An 18,637-nucleotide genomic window follows, 5' to 3' on the forward strand; every position below is an offset into this window, starting at 1 on the left:
GGGGCCAAGAGTACTTACTCAGCTCCCACCACTTAAAGAAAAACTCATTTACAGCCACATCCAAATCCATTTCGGAATTCCCAACCCGCTCTCACTTCGGTTTCAGGGGCAATATAGAAAAGGCAATATAAATGAGAAGCTGTGCACAGCAAGGGCTTCAGAGACTGACATCTAGATTTCAGTCCTTGGTTCAAAAGTTACTTTCTCTGAACCTCAATTTTCTAATTTATAAGATGAGAATCATAGTAGTGCCTACTCATAGAGTTACTGAGAATATTAAATGAGATAGTGAATAGAGAACTCTTAGAATAGTTCAGCAAAGTCTAGAATGTTGTAAACGCTATAGGATAAATATCCTGGTTTCTGCAATAAACAAATTACAAGTAATAAAAAATGGTGAGAAATCTATGAACTTAGATTCTTAAAAGAGACTTAGGAGACACAGAAACCAAATGAAATGTGTGGACTTTGTTTGAATTCTGATTAAACAAACTAAATTTTCAAAGATTTTAAGACAATTTTGGAAACAAACATGGACTACAAATTTGATATGAAGGATTTTTAAGGTATAATATTGTTAGATATGATAAAAAGTGTTAAGGTTTTTTGTTGTTGTTTTAAGAGTACTTAAATGTCATACTAAAATGCTGTGGGATAAAATGATCTGACGACTGAAATTTCCTTTACAATAACTCAGATTTAGGGAAAGCAAGAGTGGAGAGTGGGGTTGAGGGGTGTGAGTGGAGTGGGAAAGAACGGATGAAACGTGGCTGGCGCCGGCTGAAATGACTGTTGCAGCAATGTGATGACTACATGAGGATATATTGTATGATGCTCTGGACTTTTGTATATGATTAAAAATTTCCATAACAAAATGCTTCTAAAAGAAAAAACAGAGTAACAGTGTATATTTCATATAGGTGTTATGGGTATTAAATGAGATATGTAAAAGTGCAATACTGTCTGGGATACAGAAGGGGTTTTGAAAAGTTTATTTCCCCTTTTATTTTCTCTTTTAAAATACATCTCCCCCACAACACACAGAAAAGACACACACACACACACACACACACACACACACACACACCAGGAGTCATCCAAAAACAGTCTTTGTGATGTTCTGCAAGGGTTGAATTGCCCTAGTAAGGGTTTGTGAAAGACTTGGATCTTTTTTACATTGAAATCAAAGGCTGGTGATTTTAGATACACTTCAGGGTCCTGGAGCCTTGGGTACTGGACCTTCCTACTTTGGGAAAATAATCGACTCCTGAGCTCCATAAACAATAACCAGTATAGAATAGAAAGCAGGATTCTCTGAGGAGAAGCCAGAGTCCCCAGCATGTGGGCAGCACCTGAAGTGTGACCCTCAGACTCAGGGAGGGACCAAGGCCTGTTGCAGGGCACCCAACTGCTGCTGCCTGATCACCAAAGGAGAAGAGTCTAAAATGAAACCAAATAACAGGTGGCAATCTTAACCCACTCCCCTAAAAAAACTCCCATTTTTAAAAAGAAAACTTACCTGAGAAGGAGTTTCTACTCCCTGAAATTTATTGCTGTGGGTTTTATTGGTTCGCCTTTCTCCAAAATAATATAGGCTTTCCTACAAAAAAGGGTACAATCCAACCATGGTTCATCTGCACTCTTTCCTTTCCTATATTAGGTACCCTTAGTGTTTCTATGCCCACCTTCTTTCCTAAAGTCAGTGATTTTGTTTGTTTGTTTTTTTGGTAGAGTCTTGCTCTGCAACCCAGACTGGAGTACAGTGGCAGGATCTAAGCTCACTGCAACCTCTGCCTCCTGGGTTCAAGTGATTCTACTGCCTCAGCCTTCTGAGTAGCTGGGACTACAGGTGTGTACCACCATGCCCAGCTAATTTTTTGTATTTTTAGTAGAGATAGGGGTTTCACCATGTTGGCCAGGCTGCTCTCAAACTCCTGACCTCAAGAGATCCACCTGCCTCAGCCTCCCAAAGTGCTGGGATTACAGGCATGAGCCACCCATGCCCGGCCACAGTGATCTTTGGGCAGAGGCTACCAAAAATAACAAAATTAGGACTTCTCTCATTCAAGGATTCATACATTCATAAAATTTTAGAGCTGGAAACACCATAGAAAGCATCTGGTCCAACCCTTCTTTCCATATTACAAATGACAACACTGAGACCAAAAGAAAACCAAGCAACCTGCCAAGGAGATGCTGCAGCCAGTTAGAAGAAGCACAGGCCTGGAATACAGGTCCCTGGATCTCAGTCTAGGGCTCTGGATCAATGGCTGTCAATGACTTTCAAACCTTTTGTTTTTTAAGCTGCAATCCACATTAATAAACCTAGGAGACACACACACACACACACACACACACATACACCAATATTTAAACCTTTTGATATTTTCTATTCTGCTCTATTCCATTTTATTTTCAAAAGATGTCAGTTACAACCCAGTAACTTTATTTTAAAACTCACTGATAAATCATGATCCACAGCTTGAAAAACACCATCCTAGAACACCCATTTTCAAAATCTGTGTATCTCAAATTAGAGAAACCAAAGGTGGTGGAATTGGAGTCTGGGCATTGTGCACAACCACCACCTCTTCCCTAGACTGCAGGCCAAACAACTCGAGCAGAGCTGCTGGAAATGGTAGCATCTCAGCAAGAAAATGGCAGAAAGAAAAATGACTGAGAACTCTGCTTTAAGTGGAAACAGCCCACCTTGTCTAATCAGAAATTTCTAGAGGTCACAGACTCCACATGTATTGACTAAGCAAAGATATTTACATTCAGGAGAGGCTTTGTTTTCAGTTGTGAAATGTTGCTTTTTATCTACCTAAGAGTTGTGAGGATGGGCAAGGCTCTTTGGAGAATTTATCTAATTAAGCTTGATACTATTCTCACGAGGAAGGAAGAAGTCATGGTACTGGCAGGAATAAGAGCAGGGCCAGGTGAAGTGAGGGAAGCATGTTGATTACTGAATGTTTTTTTCTGTGTAACATGACTTTACTCCCCTCACCTTAATCCTGCCCCATCAGGTCTTGTCTTTATTTAAAATGTTGATATTGCATACATCATAGATTTTTTGCATTAATTTTTATTAAAATATTGCATTAAAATTATTTATTTTAATTATTATAATTTTTAGCATTCCCTTAAATTTTGCACCTCATTGACCTCACTCTAGTCCTGGCCCAAAGAGATTCTGCAGTCAGCTACTAACTAGTGCACGTTAAACAAGAAAGTATCAAAAATAGACTTTCTAAAAACTGCTTCTCTAATTACAATTTTACTAAGCACCATGACTCAAATAATCATCTTAACGTCCTACCAGCGATCTTTCAGAACTAGCAAACTCAATCATCATAAGAGAAAGTTTGTAGAACATCTTTCATACCTCGGCAGTTAAAAATATTTCGGAGGCAATAAGGAGGGCACAAACCATAGTCCCGGTTCTTCCTAGAAAAGAAAAGAAGTTAGTTCAAGAACATACATGGTATAAAAATACACTCAGAAATATTCAAGGAGTGCATTTTAACTTGATTTTCTTTCTTTTTTTTGAGACAGGGTCTTGCTGTGTCACGCAGGCTGGAGTGCAGTGGCACAATCTTGGCTCATTGCAACCTCCGCCTCACAGGTGAAAAATACGCAAATTACATTTACAGTAAAAATATCTCTCACCATCTCTCCACAAAAGGACACGATGAGGTTTTTACTAAATCTATAAGAAAGCAACAATTCATGTCTTTTATAATTTTTTTGGATAATAGTAAAAAAGAAAAATTCCCACCTCATTTAGTACATTAATATAACTGATTCCAAAATTGCACAAATACAGTAGAAGAAAAGACATTTTTACACCAGTCTCACATATAAATGTAGATTTAAAAATATACATATATTTTCAAAGTGAATTCAGCAATGTAGAAACACCATGTATCAACACCAAGTGCCATTTCTCTTAAGGATGCAAGGATGTTTTTTCCAAGATGGCAGATTACAGGCTTTTAGCATGCCTCAGTCATTTGGAAATAGCAAGCAAGTACATAAAGACCAACTCTGTGAGCTTTAATTCAAGAAAGAAAATGGCAATTCCTCGGAATTATGAAGGACATCCCAGATCCTGGGGAGGACAATGCAGGCAAGCAGCCCTCAGGACAGCATTCGACTGATAAAAGTGAGTGAAGCCTCAGGGTGTGAGAGAGGCAGACAGCATCCCTCTGTCTCACCTTTCCACTGGAGATCCACGCAACCCGGGCAGAGGAAGAGATTGTTTCTCCCAAGCCTTGGAGCTCATTTGAGGAGAGACTTGGAGACTTTGTGGGGGAAAGACACAGGGAAACGCTGCCGGCATTTTCCCAAACCTGGACTGGCAGCAGGACAACACTGGGGGAATCTTCCCTATCTGGCTCCACCCATCTTGTGCCCCCAATCCCCCTACCCCTAGGGCTGAGGGAGCTCAGATTAATGTGTACTCAGGAAATCAGCCCTTTGCCTGGGGCAGCAGAGAGCTCCTCCCAATAAACAAGGATCAAGTACACAGCCAGCGGCACTGGCAACAGCCAGCTCTTACCCATGGCGCCATCTACTGGCTCATAGGTCAAACCACACACCCAATATAAAACCTGCTGGCAGAAGTGCATAGGGCTGCAGAAGCAAAGCCAAAAGACCCTACCCAGCATGCTCTACAGTCACACCCTCTAGGGAGAAGGGAAAGGGAAAGAAGAAAAAAATAACAATAATATTATAGGAAAGGAAAGAAAAAGAAAAATCCTACCCAAACAAAAATAATTACACAAATTAGAAGTGCTAGCATCTCCAGATAAGAAGGACCCATGCAAGAATTCTGGCACCATGAGAAATCTGAATGTAGTGACACTACCAAAGGATCACACTAGCTCTCTGGCAATGCTTCCTACCAAAATGAAAACTCAGAGATGACAATAAACAATTCAAAGCTTGGGTTGCAAGGAAGCTCAATGAGATTCAAGGTTGAAATCAACAAAAAGAAACTTCTACATCAATCCAGGAAATGAAGGAAGAGATAAACATCTTAATAAGAAATCAATCAGAACTTCTGGAACTAAAAAAATTCACTTAAGGAATTTCAAAATACAACTGAAAACTTTATCAATAGACTGGACAAAGTAGAAAACATAATTTCAGAGCTTGAAGACTGGTCTTTTGAACTAATCCAGTCAGACAAAAATAAAGAAAAAAGATTTTTTAAAAGTGAAGAAAGTCAGAAATATGAGATTATGTAAAGTGACCAAACCTACGAATTACTGGCATGCCCTAGAGAGAAAGAGAAAAAGAAAACAGCCTGGAAAACATATTTGATGGAATAATTCGAGAAAATTTCTTGAATCTTGCTAGATAGACATCTAAGTACAGTAAAGCCAGACAGCACCTGTGAGATACTATAAAAAATGAGCATTACCAAGGCATATACTCACCAGACTGTCCAAGGTCACTGTCAAAGAAAAAGCCCTAAAGGCACTGCAGAAAAAGGCCAGATCACACACAAAGGTAGCCCCATCAGGATAACAGCCAAATCCAACAGCACATCAAAAAGTTCACCATCAAGTAAGCTTCATTCCAAGGATACAAGGTTCAGCATATGCAAACCAATAAATGTGATTCACCACACAAACAGAATTAAACAGAAACCACATGATCATCTCAATAGATGCAGAAAAAAAAGCTTTTGATAAAATTCAACATCTTTCTTGATAAAAAAAAAACACTCAAGAAACTAGGAATCAAAGGAACATACTTCAAAATAGAGCCATGGGCCGGATGCAGTGGCTCACATCTGTAATCCCAGCACTTTGGGAGGCCAAGGCAGGCAGATCACTTGAGGTCAGGAGTTCAAGACCAGCCTGGCCAACATAGTGAAACTCCGTCTTTACTAAAAATACAAAAATTAGCCAGGCATGGTGGTGCACACCTGTAATCCCAGTGACTCAGAAGGCTGAGGCAGGAGAATCGCTTGAACCCAGGAGTCGGAGGTTGCAGTGACTGAGATTGCACCACTGCATTCCAGCCTGGGTGACAGCAAGACTCCATCTCAAAAACAAACAAGCAAACAAACAAACAAACAAAAAACAGGCTGGGCACGGTGGCTCATGCCTGTAATCCCAGCACTTTGGGAGGCTGGGGTGGGTGGATCACCCGAGGTCAGGAGTTCGAGAGCAGCCTGGCCAACTTGGTGAAACCCTATCTCTACTAAAAATACAAAAATTAGCTGGGCGTGGTGGCAGGCACTTGTAATCCCAGCTACTTGGGAGGCTGAGCCAGGAGAATCACTTGAACCTGGGGGGTGGAGGTTGCAGTGAGCCAAGACTGCGCCATTGCACTCCAGCCTGGGCAACAAGAGCAAAACTCCCTCTCAAAAAAAAAAAAAATAATTTCCTTTGCAGCATCACGGATGCAGCTGGAAGTCATTATCCTGAGCAAATTAATACAGGAACAAAAAACCAAATACCGTATGTTCTCACTCATAAGTGAAAGCTAAACAATGGGTGCTCATGGATATCAAGGTGGCAATAATGGACCCTGGGGAGTTCTAGACGGGGCACAGCAGAAAAGGGCACAGGTTGAAAAACTAACTATTGGGTCCTGTGCTCAGTACCTGGGTGATGCGATCACTCACACCCCAAACCTCAGCATCACACAATATTACCAATAAACCTGCATATGTACTTCCAAATCTAAAAGTTAATTTATACCAAAAATCTAAGCTCAAAAAGAAAAAAAAGTATTTTGCCCATTAAAAAACAAATAATAAAAAATACAAGAATCATCCTTTATCAGAAATCTATAATAATGCAATTTATCATATTCATTGATTAAAGAAGTCATACCTTACAATTATCTCAATTAATGCAGGAAAAAGCATTCACTAACATTCAGCCTGCACCTGTGACTTTAAAAATTAACAACAACTAGGAAACTTCCTTAACTCAACAAAGAGAATCCACCAAAATACCTACCAGGAACATCATATTAATGACATAATATTGACAGCATTTTCTTTAAAGCCTGGAATTAAACAAAAATGCCCTCTCTTCACTGTTTCCATTTAACAGTATACTGCAGAGCCTAACCAGTGTAGAAAGTCAGTGTAGTAAGTAAATCTTTAGAATAACTCCTTAATCTAATGAGAGAATTTAGGAAGATTTCTAGATGCAGGCTCAACATAAACAAAAATTAATAGCTAAATCAAGGATGCAGGTTGAAATCTTTACAGTAATTACTAAAAACATAGAAAAGGAGTATATGACTTCCAAGGTAAGGACAGAGGGTAAGAAGCAAAAAATTATATTATTAAAATTCAATGGAACGAAAACAGAATGTCAGTAGGAAAATAGAAGAGTTAAATAAAATAGATGTACATAGAACACTGTTCTCAACAATGCATAATACATGTTCTTTTCAAATGTACAGAAAACATTTGACAATATCAACCAAATTCTGGGCCATTAAGCAAGTCTAAACAAATTTCAAAGAACTAAAAAAGAAAAAAATACATAGTATGTTCTGTGTCCACAACAAAATGTAATAAATCAAAAATTTAAAGATAAATACAAAACTCTCATATGTTTGGAAATAAGGAAGCACACTTCTACATAACTCATGGGTCAAAAAAAAAAGCACAAAGTTGGAACATAGTTTGAACTAAGTAAAATAAAAACACTACAAATAAAAATTTATGGGATGAAACTAAAGCAATTCTTAGAGGAAAACTTGTAGCCTTAAATCGTAAATAGAAAAGAGAGTGGCCAACACTCTAAGAATTATCCATGTCAAGAAGTCAGGAAAAGAACAAATTAACCCAAGGAGTACAGAAGAAAATACTAGATATCATAGTAATTGATGAAATAAAAAATAAGTAAAAAATAGAGACCACCAATAAGGCCAAAAATTTGGTTCTTTTAAAAGACTAGTAAAATTGATAAATCCCTGGTGAGACTAATCAAAAGAAAAAAGGGGAGAAGGCACCAAGAAAGCAATGTCGGGAATAAAAAAGGGAACATCTCTGCAGACACTAAAATGGTAAAATGATATTGTGAACAATTTGATGTCAAGACATTTGCAAAGTTAAATTAAATGGACAAATGCTGGGAAAACTATAATCTACCAAAATGGGCAAAAGAAATAAAATTATAAAAACATTCTATATAGGGAATTGAGCCATAATTTAAAGACTTCTCTCCAGAGAAAACTCTAGGCCAATGTGCCTTCACTGGTGAATTTCACTTTACACTTAAGAAGGAAAAAAATCAGCATGCATAAATTTACCCAGAGAATAAAAACAGAGAAAATGAAATCTAACTCATTTTATGAAACCAAGATTTGAAAAAACTATGAGAAAGGAAAATTATAACCAATTGCCCAGATGACATGAATTTGAAAATCCTAAACAAAATATTAACAGACAGAATCTGGCAATATAATAATAAAATAATTTAATAAGTATTTAACAAAATAATACAGCACAACTAAATTACATTTATTCCAGAAACATGTTGGTTTACCAGTTAATCAATGTAATTAACCACATTTATTTATAGGATAAAGTAGAAAAATTATCATCTCAAAGATTCAGAAAAATCTTTAAGAATTCAACATCCATTCATGATTTAAAAAAAAAAAAACTCTTAGCAAGCTAAAGGAATTTCTTTTTTCTTTCTTTCTTTCTTTTTTTTTTTTTTGTTTCATTTTTTCAGACAGAGTCTCACTCTGTCATCCAGGCTGGAGAGCAGTGGTGTGATCTTGGCTCACTGCAACCTCTGCCTCCTGGTTTCAAGTGATTCTCGTGCCTCAGCCGGAGTAGCTGGCATTACAGGCATGTGCCACCACACCTGGCAAATTTTTGTATTTTTTAGTAGAGACAGGGTTTCACCATGTTGCCTAGGCTGGTCTTAAACTCCTGGCCTCAAGTGATCTGACCCCACTGGGCCTCCCAAAGTGCTGGGATTACAGGTGTAAGCCATGGCACCCAGCCAAGGAATTTCTTAATCGATAAATGGTAGCTAATACACACACACACACACACACACACACACACACACACACACACAGTCGTTAAGCAATTGGAGAGATGTTGAAAGCTTTTCCTTTGAGAATGGAACTGTATGTTGATGGCTGCTATTGCCACTTCTAATTCTACACTGTACTGAATGTTCTAGCCAGTGCTAGGGGAGATAAATGACTGAAATGGAAAAAATACAATTTATTATTTTCATATGATGTAATCATGTACCATAAAATCCAAAAGAATCTATAGATAAATTAGTAGAACTAATAAGTGAGTTTAGGCTGGGCACGGTGGCTCAGACCTGCAGTCCTAGCACTTTGGGAGGCGGAGGCTGAGGCTGGCAGATAACTTGAGCGCAGGAGTTTGAGACCAACCTGGGCAACATAGCGAAACCCCATCTCTACAAAAAAATGAAAAAATTAGCTGGGCATGGTGGCACCTGCCTGCAGTGCTAGCTACTCAAGAGGCTGATATAGGAGGATCACCTGAGCCCAGGGAGGTTGAGGCTGTAGTGAGCCATGATCATGCCACTGCACTCCAGCCTGGGTGACAGAATGAGACTCTGCCACAAAAAAAAAAAAAAAAAAAAAAAAAAAAAAAAAAAAAAAAAAAAAAAAAAGTGAGTTTAGGAAAGTTGCTAATTGCAAGATTAATAAATAAAATGAACTGCATTTAAAACAACAAAAAACATTTAGAAAACAGACATTTTAAAAGGATATCATTTAAATAGCCACAAAAAAAATCTAAGAATAAATCTCACCAAAAATACGCAAGCTTTCTATACAGAAAATGAGAAAGCATTGTAAAGAGAAATTGAAGAGGACCTAACTAAATGAGAGAATACCTCTCTTCATGGGTTGGATGAGTCAATATTGTAAAGATTCAATTCTCCCCAGTCTATAAATTCAATGCAATTCCAAACAAATTTCTATCCAGTGTGTGTAATTTGACTAGTTGATTCCCAAATTTATATGGAAATATAGATGACCTAAAATACCCAAACAATTGTGAGAAAGAAGAAGATGATGAGGACGTATTAGAAAGCTACAGTAAGATAGTTGTGCTATTGGCACACAGATGAAAAATCAATGAACAGAATAGAAAGGTCAGAAACAGATTCATGTTCTTCAGGGTAGCAAAGAAATGAAAATCTTCTGAACCATTGTGCTGGAATAACTGGATAGCCATACATGAAAAAAGATGAAACATGACGCCTTCCTCACACCACACACATAAATCAAGTTTAAAAGGAATGAACCTTCTCGAAGAAAATATAGTAGTAAAATGTCCTTTAAACTCAAGGAAAATTTTCTTAATCAGGACACAAAAACACAAACTTTATAAAGGGAAAGCATGATACATATGATGGTAATACAATTAAGAACTTCTGTTAACCAGAAGATACTCCTGAGAGACAGAAAAGGCAAATCACAGAGCAGAAAAGCTTTCTTGAAATACATTTATGACCAATAACAGAATTGAAATCAGAATACATAAAGAACTCCTACAATCAGGAGAAAAAAGATGAATAATCCAGGAGAAAAATGGTTAAGAAAATAAAAAAGTTACTTTACAAAAAAGGATATCCAAATACTTAATAATCTTAAAAAAACTTCCTCAAACTTATTAGTAATTATAGAAATGCAAATGATCACCACCATAAGATGCCATCACACACCCAAAAGGCTAAAGATAAAAATACTCAGAATTGCAAGTATTGGGGAAGATACGGAATGCTTGAAGTCTACAATACCAGTGGAGTAAAAATTGGTACAACTGTTTTAGAAAACAGATGACATTATCAAGTAAAGTTCAAGATTCATTACCCTAAGACAGAACAATTTTAGTCTGAGGTATACACTCAACAAAAATGTGGCCACATGTGCAACAAGAAACATGTATTTTTAAAAGCAGTATTATTGGGCTAGGCATGGTGGCTCATGCCTGTAATCCCAGCAATTTGGGAGGCAGAGGCAGGCACATCACTTGAGGTCAGGAATTTGAGACCAGCCTGGACAACATGGCAAAACCCCATCTCTACTAAAAATACAAAAGTAGCTGGGTATGGTGGCGGACGCCTGTAATCCCAGTTACTCCGGAGGCTCAGACATGAGAATTGCTTGAACGCAGGAGGCGGAGGTTGCAATGAACTGAGATCATGTCACTGCACTCCAGCCTGGGTGACAGAGTGAGACCTTATCTCAAAACAAAAAACAAAAAACATAATTTATCACAATAAAAATTGGAAACAACCCAAATGTAATAGAAAAAAAGAGATTCCATTTTCAGTCACAATTTGTGTAGGAATGAATTTTTGAAAAGATGTGCAAAGACATGATAAAAAAAGTATAAAATATTATTAAAGAATGAACAAGATGATTCACATGTACAACTCAATATCTCAAAGTTGTCAGTTCTCTCAAGTTAATCTGTAAATTCAATGTAGTTCCAATAAAAATCCTAAAAGTGTTCCATTATGGCACTTCACAAAATGATTTTAAAATTGAATGTAATAATAAAGTTCCAAGAAGAGCAAGACAATTCTGCCTTTATCAAACCATATTATAAAGCTACAATAATTACAAAAGTGTGGTAGAGAGAACTTAGGAACAGTCTTGAATATTTATAGAAACTTGGTATATTACTGAGAGGGACTACAAATTAATGGAGAACAAAATAGCATGCAATTGATGGTGTTAGGACAATTGGCTATCTATATGAAAAAAAATACTTCCCCCCCAACTTCCAATTAGATTAAAGACCCAAATACTAAAAATGGAACTTGAATATTTTTGAGGAAATGTGGAATATCTTTACTATATCAGTATAGGGGTGAATTTCATAAACATGACAGAAAAGCATGAAATACATACACACACATAGAAAAACAAATTTTACTATATTCAAAATTACAAACTTCTCTCCGGGCATGATGGCTCATGCCTGTAATCCCAGCACTTTGGGAAGCTGAGGTGGGTGGATCACTTGAGTCCAGGAGTTCAAGACCAGTCTGGGCAACACAGTGAGACCCTGTCTCTATAAAAAATACAAAAATTAGCCAGGCATGGTGATGCTCACCTGTAGTCCCACCTACTCAGAGGGGCTGAGATGGGAGGATCGCTTGAGCCCCAGGAGGTTCAGGCTGCAATGAGCTGAGATCATGCCACTGCACTCCAGCCTGAGTGACAGAGCGAGATCATGTCTCAAAACAAAACAAAAATTTACAAACTTTTGTACAACAAAATAAATCACCATCAAATTTAAAGGCAACATGTGGGGAGAATATAATTACAATACTAAGAAAAATTGGCATTCAGATTCTTTAAAGAACTCCTATAAATCGATATAAAATATTTTTACTATCATGATACTACTGGTAACCTGCAGGCAGCAACCAACCAGAAGATAGCAAGACTAATATGAATGAACACATAAAAAAGAGGCTGCTCTGGTACATACCAGCTGAATATTAGCCCTCTAAACAAACTTTAACAAAATCAACAAAATATTATGTGAATACAGAATAATGTAAACCCCCTCTCAGCAAAAAAGAAAAAAAGTCAAATTTGAAATGAATGTTTTCCTTCAAGCAAGGAATTAGCATTAGTTAATAGAAAGCTGATGCTAACTTCTTTAATAATAACATTTTAGGTTGGGTAATGTGAAATGGCCATTTTTAAAGCAAAAGATGGTTAAAAACTGGCAATTTCAAATGATTCAACCTCTATATTCTTAACTATGGTATTGTAAATTGCCAGTTTATATACAATATTCCAACCTGTAGAGCTAAACACAGAACCTGTATATGAACTAATATACAGCTAAACACAGAACCTGTATATTAACTAATGGGCTTGAAACTAGTCAATAAGACTAAAACTTGATTTTACTGAATTATATAAGTCAGTTTACGGTGCTATGTTTTCCTGGAATTTGATATAAAAATTCATTTAGAGCCCACTAAAAATGTAATTATTTATGTTTGGCAAAATTTGTGAAATATGCTTAGATGATTATTTAAAGCCTAAACCTGAATGAGAGAAAATCTAACTAAACTTAAATTGGTTGGATTTACAAATGGCTTTTTTTCCCCATTTTAACCCCACCAATGTCAACTTCTTCGTATCATTACACTATAAAAATTCCAGCATAATTTTTGAAATAGCATCTCTGTTGGCTCCCTTAATCTAAAAGGTTCTCACAAAGTTTAAGAACAACCTTAAATATTACTGGAACAAAAACAGACATATAGACCAATGGAACAGAATAGACAGCCCAGAAAAAATCCATGCATTTATACTCAGCTGATGTTCAACAAAGGTGCCAAGAATCCAAGATGGGGAAAGGACAGTCTCTTCAATAAACGATACTGGGGAAACTGAATATCCACTTGCAGAAAAATGAAATTGCAACCTATCTCACCCAATATACAAAAATCAACTCAAAGTAAATGCTTAACTGTGAAACGTGAAATTGGAAAACTACTAGAAGAAAAGATAGGTGAAAATCTTCTTGACATTGGTCTGGGCCAAGATATTTTTGGATATGACTGAAAAGCATAGGCAACAAAAGAAAAAGTAGACAAATGATACTGTATCAAACTAAAACACTTTTGCACAGCAAAGGAAACATTTATAGAGTAAAGAGAGAACCTACAGAATGGGAGAAATATCTACAAAGCATACATTCGATAATAGGTTAACAGATTTTTTAAAAAAAGAACTCAGACAACACAATAGCAAGAGAACATGTTACTTCTCTAGAAAATGGGCAAAGAACCTGAAAAGATATTTCCCAACGGAAATGGCCAAGAGGTATAATGAGAAACTGCTAAACATCATTAATCATCAGGGAAAAGCAATTTAAAACCACAAAGAGATATCCTCACACCTGTTAGGATGGTCATTAACAAAAAGACAAAAGAAGAGTTGGTGAGGATGAAGAGAAAAGGGACCCTCCCTTGTACACTGTTGGTGTGAATGTAAATTAGTAGTTATTGTGGAAAACAGCACTGAGATTCCTCAAAAAAACAAAAATAGAACTACCATATGATTTGGAGATTCCACTTCTGGGTATATATCCAAAGGAAATGAAATCTGCACTCCCGTGTTCACTGCAGCATTATTCATAATACCCAAGCTATGGAGTCAATCTAAATGTCATCAGTGGATGAATGAATAAAGAATATGTGGTATATATAAATAAAGGCATACTATTCAGCCTTAGAGGATATCCTGTCACAAGATAATATGGATGAACCTGGAGAACATTATGCTAAGTGAAATAAGCCAGGCATAGAAAGACAAATACTGCATGTCTCACTTATTTGTGGAATCTAAAAAAGTCAAATTCATAGAAGCAGAGAGTAGAATGGTGGTTACCGGGGCTGGGGAGACAAAACTGGGGGGATTGTGAAGATGTTGGTTTTTACTTTATTATTATTGTTATTTTTTTAGATGGAGTTTTGTTCTTGTTGCTCAGGCTGGAGTACAATGGTGCGATCTCAGCTCACTGCAACCTCTGCCTCCCAGGTTCAAGCGATTCTTCTGCCTCAGCCTCCCGAGTAGCTGGGATTACAGGTGCATGCCACCACATCCGGCTAATGTTTTGTATTTTTAGTAGAGATGGGGCTTCACCATGTGATCCACCTGCCTCAGCCTCCCAAAGTGCTGGGATTACAGGTGTGAGCCACTGTGCCCAGCCTGAGATGTTGATTAAAGGATGCAAAATTTCAGTTAGACAGGAAGAATAAGTTCAGGAAATTTATTGTACAACATAGTGACCACAGTTAATAATAATGTATACTTGAAAATTGCTGAGACAGTAGATTTTAAATGTTCTCACACAAAAATATGTGGAGTAATACATATGTTAATTAGCTTGATTTAGCCATTTCACAATGTTTATGTATATCAAAACATCATGTTGTACACCATAAATATATTGATTTTTTTGTTAATTTAAAAATAAAAAAGATCAGCCTTAAATAAAATAAAAGTACTCTGATATTCTAAAATTAAAGACTGTTTGTATTTTGAGAGATATAAACTGGCAAACCAAAAATAAAAAATCCAAATACTAGGAAAACAAGGGAAAATATGCTCAACCTTCCTTAGTTCTTTTTTCCTACTTTCTTCCATTCCTTATCCTCTCCCTATCTCCTACCCTTCCTCCTCTCCTCTTTCCTTTCTCCTTCCCTTCTTTCAGTCTTGGAGCTAATATTTAAAAATGCTAACAATTATTAATACATATTAATAGCAATACGTATCTTGTTCTTCTACTTTATCTATATTTACATGTCTTTAGAAAGGGAAAAATGAAAAGGAAAATGTTATTACCTTTGCCTCCTTTACAGTGAATCGCTACGATGTTTTCAAGATCTTGAGCCATCCACTCATTTACTTCCTTGGTGAAAACCACCATCTCACTGATTTCAAGTTTAAGATTTTTAGTTAAAATATTTTCAAAAAATCAAGCCCAATATATTTAGCCCTCTTCTGATAGTCAATTTAGCATAAAACTTACTGTAGAGTGGGGACATTATGATCATCAATCATGATTCTACTGACCCTATTATGGAAGTGCTTAGGATCATAAGCTCTTTCACCTAAAATAAATAATATGTATGTCATATCTCTATAGGGAATAACATGATAAATGATGAAGTTATGAATAAGTTAACATATCTTATTAGAATTCCTTATCTATCTTCAAAAAGAGCTTTCCAAGTTGCTCCTGCCACTCTAAAATAAACGCAAGCATTTCAAAAACGTAAGGATGGTAGTGGTTTATCCATCTCATGTAACCTAAACTCAACTTATTTTTGTTTAATAGGTATAATTTTTAACTTTCTAGCAGCCTATTCATTATATTATTTCAGGGTAGTTAGAAACCACACAAGAGGCAAATGTAGCTGACCAAAATGTTTGCCCCCTGAAAATGTCTATTGAGTATACAGGTAGAGGAAAAAATCAAGAGAGACAGGGTATTAAACTGGGTTACAACCTATTTTCTACAGAGTCTTTTGCTTTTTTCCCATCTAGAGCCTTGCTCTCATCACATGCCACTGCTGATGGGTCAGAGGGCTCATTTGTTAAATTGTCTATGTCCTCATAACACAATCTGGCAGGAAAAACAGAAAGATTTTCCTAAACCTAATATGGCCAGAACAGATCTTCCCTAAAATGGTTTGCTTCCACTCCAGCCTCATTGGTCCTGCCAAAGCCACATCCTTCATACGGTACCTTGTGCTGCTGGGCTAACTCCCTCTACTAAATGGGGCCAGTCCAAGATGGGGATTTTTAAATTCATTCCTTGCCACTACCAAATACTTATGATTAAATGCAATCTAAAAAGCAAAATCATCTTCTTACGTGCAGTAATCTGTTTTCTACCTACAGTAGCAAAATATAGAGTAATGTACATACTGCATAGATTGTAGACTCGATAGTGGTTTCGATGTTTCTTATCTAGAAACCGCACAACTTCCTAAAAAAGACAAACACATATCTTACATATTTACATGGCACCAACACAAGCTATTTCCTAGGGGGAACCTAAAATGGTTATTACTTTTATTAATTTGTCTCTCACTAGCATCTTCTAGGGGAGATTCAGGGAATAAGAGGGTATGCAAACTTCAAGTTCTAATCCACTGTGATTTTTCAAATAGTCCACAAAGTGTGTTTGGCTACTCAGATGAGTCTCTATTGTAAATACACACTGTTTAAAGCTATCACATAAGTAAATTAGCTGGTTAACTAACTTTAAGTAATTTGTTCTAAATCATTAATTCACAGTTAATATGGTTCTTGTTTAAATCTAATTCATATTGGTTCTTATTTCAATTTAATTCTGAATAGATACATCTTTAGAGAGTGATCTGCATATTACAGTCTATCTAAGCACTATGGAAACAAATAAATGCAAAAAGTATATAGCATGATTGTGTGTATGTGTGATAGAAAAAGATAAACATATCAAATTTTAAATAACTGGTAACAATATGGAGACTTTTTTGGCTCATTTGTTCTCTTTATTTTTTTAAATGAAGATATATGTGTACCTATAAGTGTGTGTGTGTGTGTGTGTGTGTGTGTGTGTGTGTATATATGTATAACCTTTAAAATGAAAAACAAATAGTAGTTATTATTTAAAATACAATCAATACCACTATATGAATCCAACTTTCAGTAAATATATCTTTCTGAAACATGCACACACATACGTATATATCTCTGTGCAACAACAAAAATGACACAAAATTTTAAAACTGATTAGTATGGTACCCTCAGAGCGATGTTTACAGGCTTAATATTGAGAAAAATAAAATTTTCAAAGTCATCCATTTATTAAACTGGCTATCTCTGTTAGGAGGAAATAATAAGTCAAAAAGATGAACACTCTGAATCTGCATAGTGGGGGAGGCAAGGATAAATAGTTTTACATACTTCAGAATTCATGGAATTTCTTACATAAAATCCACACGGGTTTAGAAATCACATATAAAAACTATAAATATCTATGAGAAATTTAAGCAAATTTTAATCAATTCTTTGGATGAGGAAGAACTAAAGGTGTTGAATCAATGGAAGATCAATAGGCTTAGGTTTGACTTCATAAAAATCTGAAATTTCTGCTTAAAAATGCTATTAATGAATAACAGGGGAAACGATTTTTCAGAAAAATTGACTGAATGGGGACTATGCCTAGTATGATAAATTAATAATTCATTAACAACAACTTAAATATTACTCACTCACCTTATAGATAAATGGGCTAAGGACACAAATAATCCATAAAAGAGAAAATCTAACTGATTAACAACCTACGTAAACATTCAGTGTCACCAATAACAAAGTCAAAACAACAATGAAATGCCATTTGCACCCATGAAATTAGCCCTTTCTCTTTTAATGAGAAAATCCAATGCTGGCAAAATAAGGCATGAAATTTAAAACTTTGATTTATTGTGGATACAAGAATACAATTGCTCTCGGAATTGGCAATATATATTAAGAACCCTAAAAATATTCATACTCTTAGCTAGGTAATTTCACTCCTAGCAATCTATACAGAAAAAGCCTTATGCGCAAAGATGTCTGTTGCTGTATTGTTGATTATAGTGACACTTAAATGTCCAACATTAGAGGTTAATCATAGCACTAATGAAATATCATGCAACATTTAGAATACTGTCCTGTCCTTCATATTTTTTTATTTTATTTTATTTTATTTTATTTTATTTTATTTATTTTATTTTATTTTATTTTATGTTATTTTATGTTATTTTATTTTATTTTATTTTGAGATGGAGTTTCACTCTTGTTGCCCAGGCTGGAGTGCAAAGGTGCAATATCAGTTCACTGCAACCTCTGCCTTCCAGGTTCAAGCAATTCTCCTGCCTCAGCCTTCTGAGTAGCTGGGATTACAGGTGCCTGCCACCACGCCTGGATAATTTTTTGTATTTTTAGTAGAGACAGGGTTTCACCATGCTGGCCAGGCTGGTTTTGAACTCCTGACCTCAGGTGATCCACCCTCCTCGGCCTCCCAAAGTGCTGGAATTATAGGTGTGAGCCACCGTGCCCATCCCTGTCCTTCATTCTC

The 18,637-nt window shown here is 36.3% G+C and overlaps 1 protein-coding gene across 8 annotated transcripts in view; it reads right to left on the reverse strand.

Annotated features, from left to right (window-relative positions):
* Nucleotides 1-18,637, reverse strand: part of TPTE2 (transmembrane phosphoinositide 3-phosphatase and tensin homolog 2) — a 138,698-nt gene that overhangs the window by 11,830 nt on the left and 108,231 nt on the right. For 6 of the 8 annotated variants that reach the window (NR_073485.2, NR_073486.1, NM_001395978.1 and 3 more), the window contains 5 exons: nt 16,459-16,519; nt 15,557-15,638; nt 15,370-15,458; nt 3,386-3,447; nt 1,520-1,600 (listed from right to left, as the gene is read on the reverse strand). Coding sequence is in view for 5 of the 8 variants with exons in the window: in NM_001395978.1 (NP_001382907.1) it covers nt 1,520-1,600; nt 3,386-3,447; nt 15,370-15,458; nt 15,557-15,638; nt 16,459-16,519 (375 nt within the window). In the remaining 3 variants the exon portion in view is untranslated. Of the gene's footprint in view, nt 1-1,519; nt 1,601-3,385; nt 3,770-15,369; nt 15,459-15,556; nt 15,639-16,458; nt 16,520-18,637 lie in introns of those variants that run through there. The other 2 variants (NR_073487.2, NM_001271850.2) reach the window with 2 other exon arrangements.

Source organism: Homo sapiens, chromosome 13 (assembly GCF_000001405.40).
Source record: "Homo sapiens chromosome 13, GRCh38.p14 Primary Assembly".
In the NCBI taxonomy this organism is placed as follows: Eukaryota; Metazoa; Chordata; class Mammalia; order Primates; family Hominidae; genus Homo; species Homo sapiens.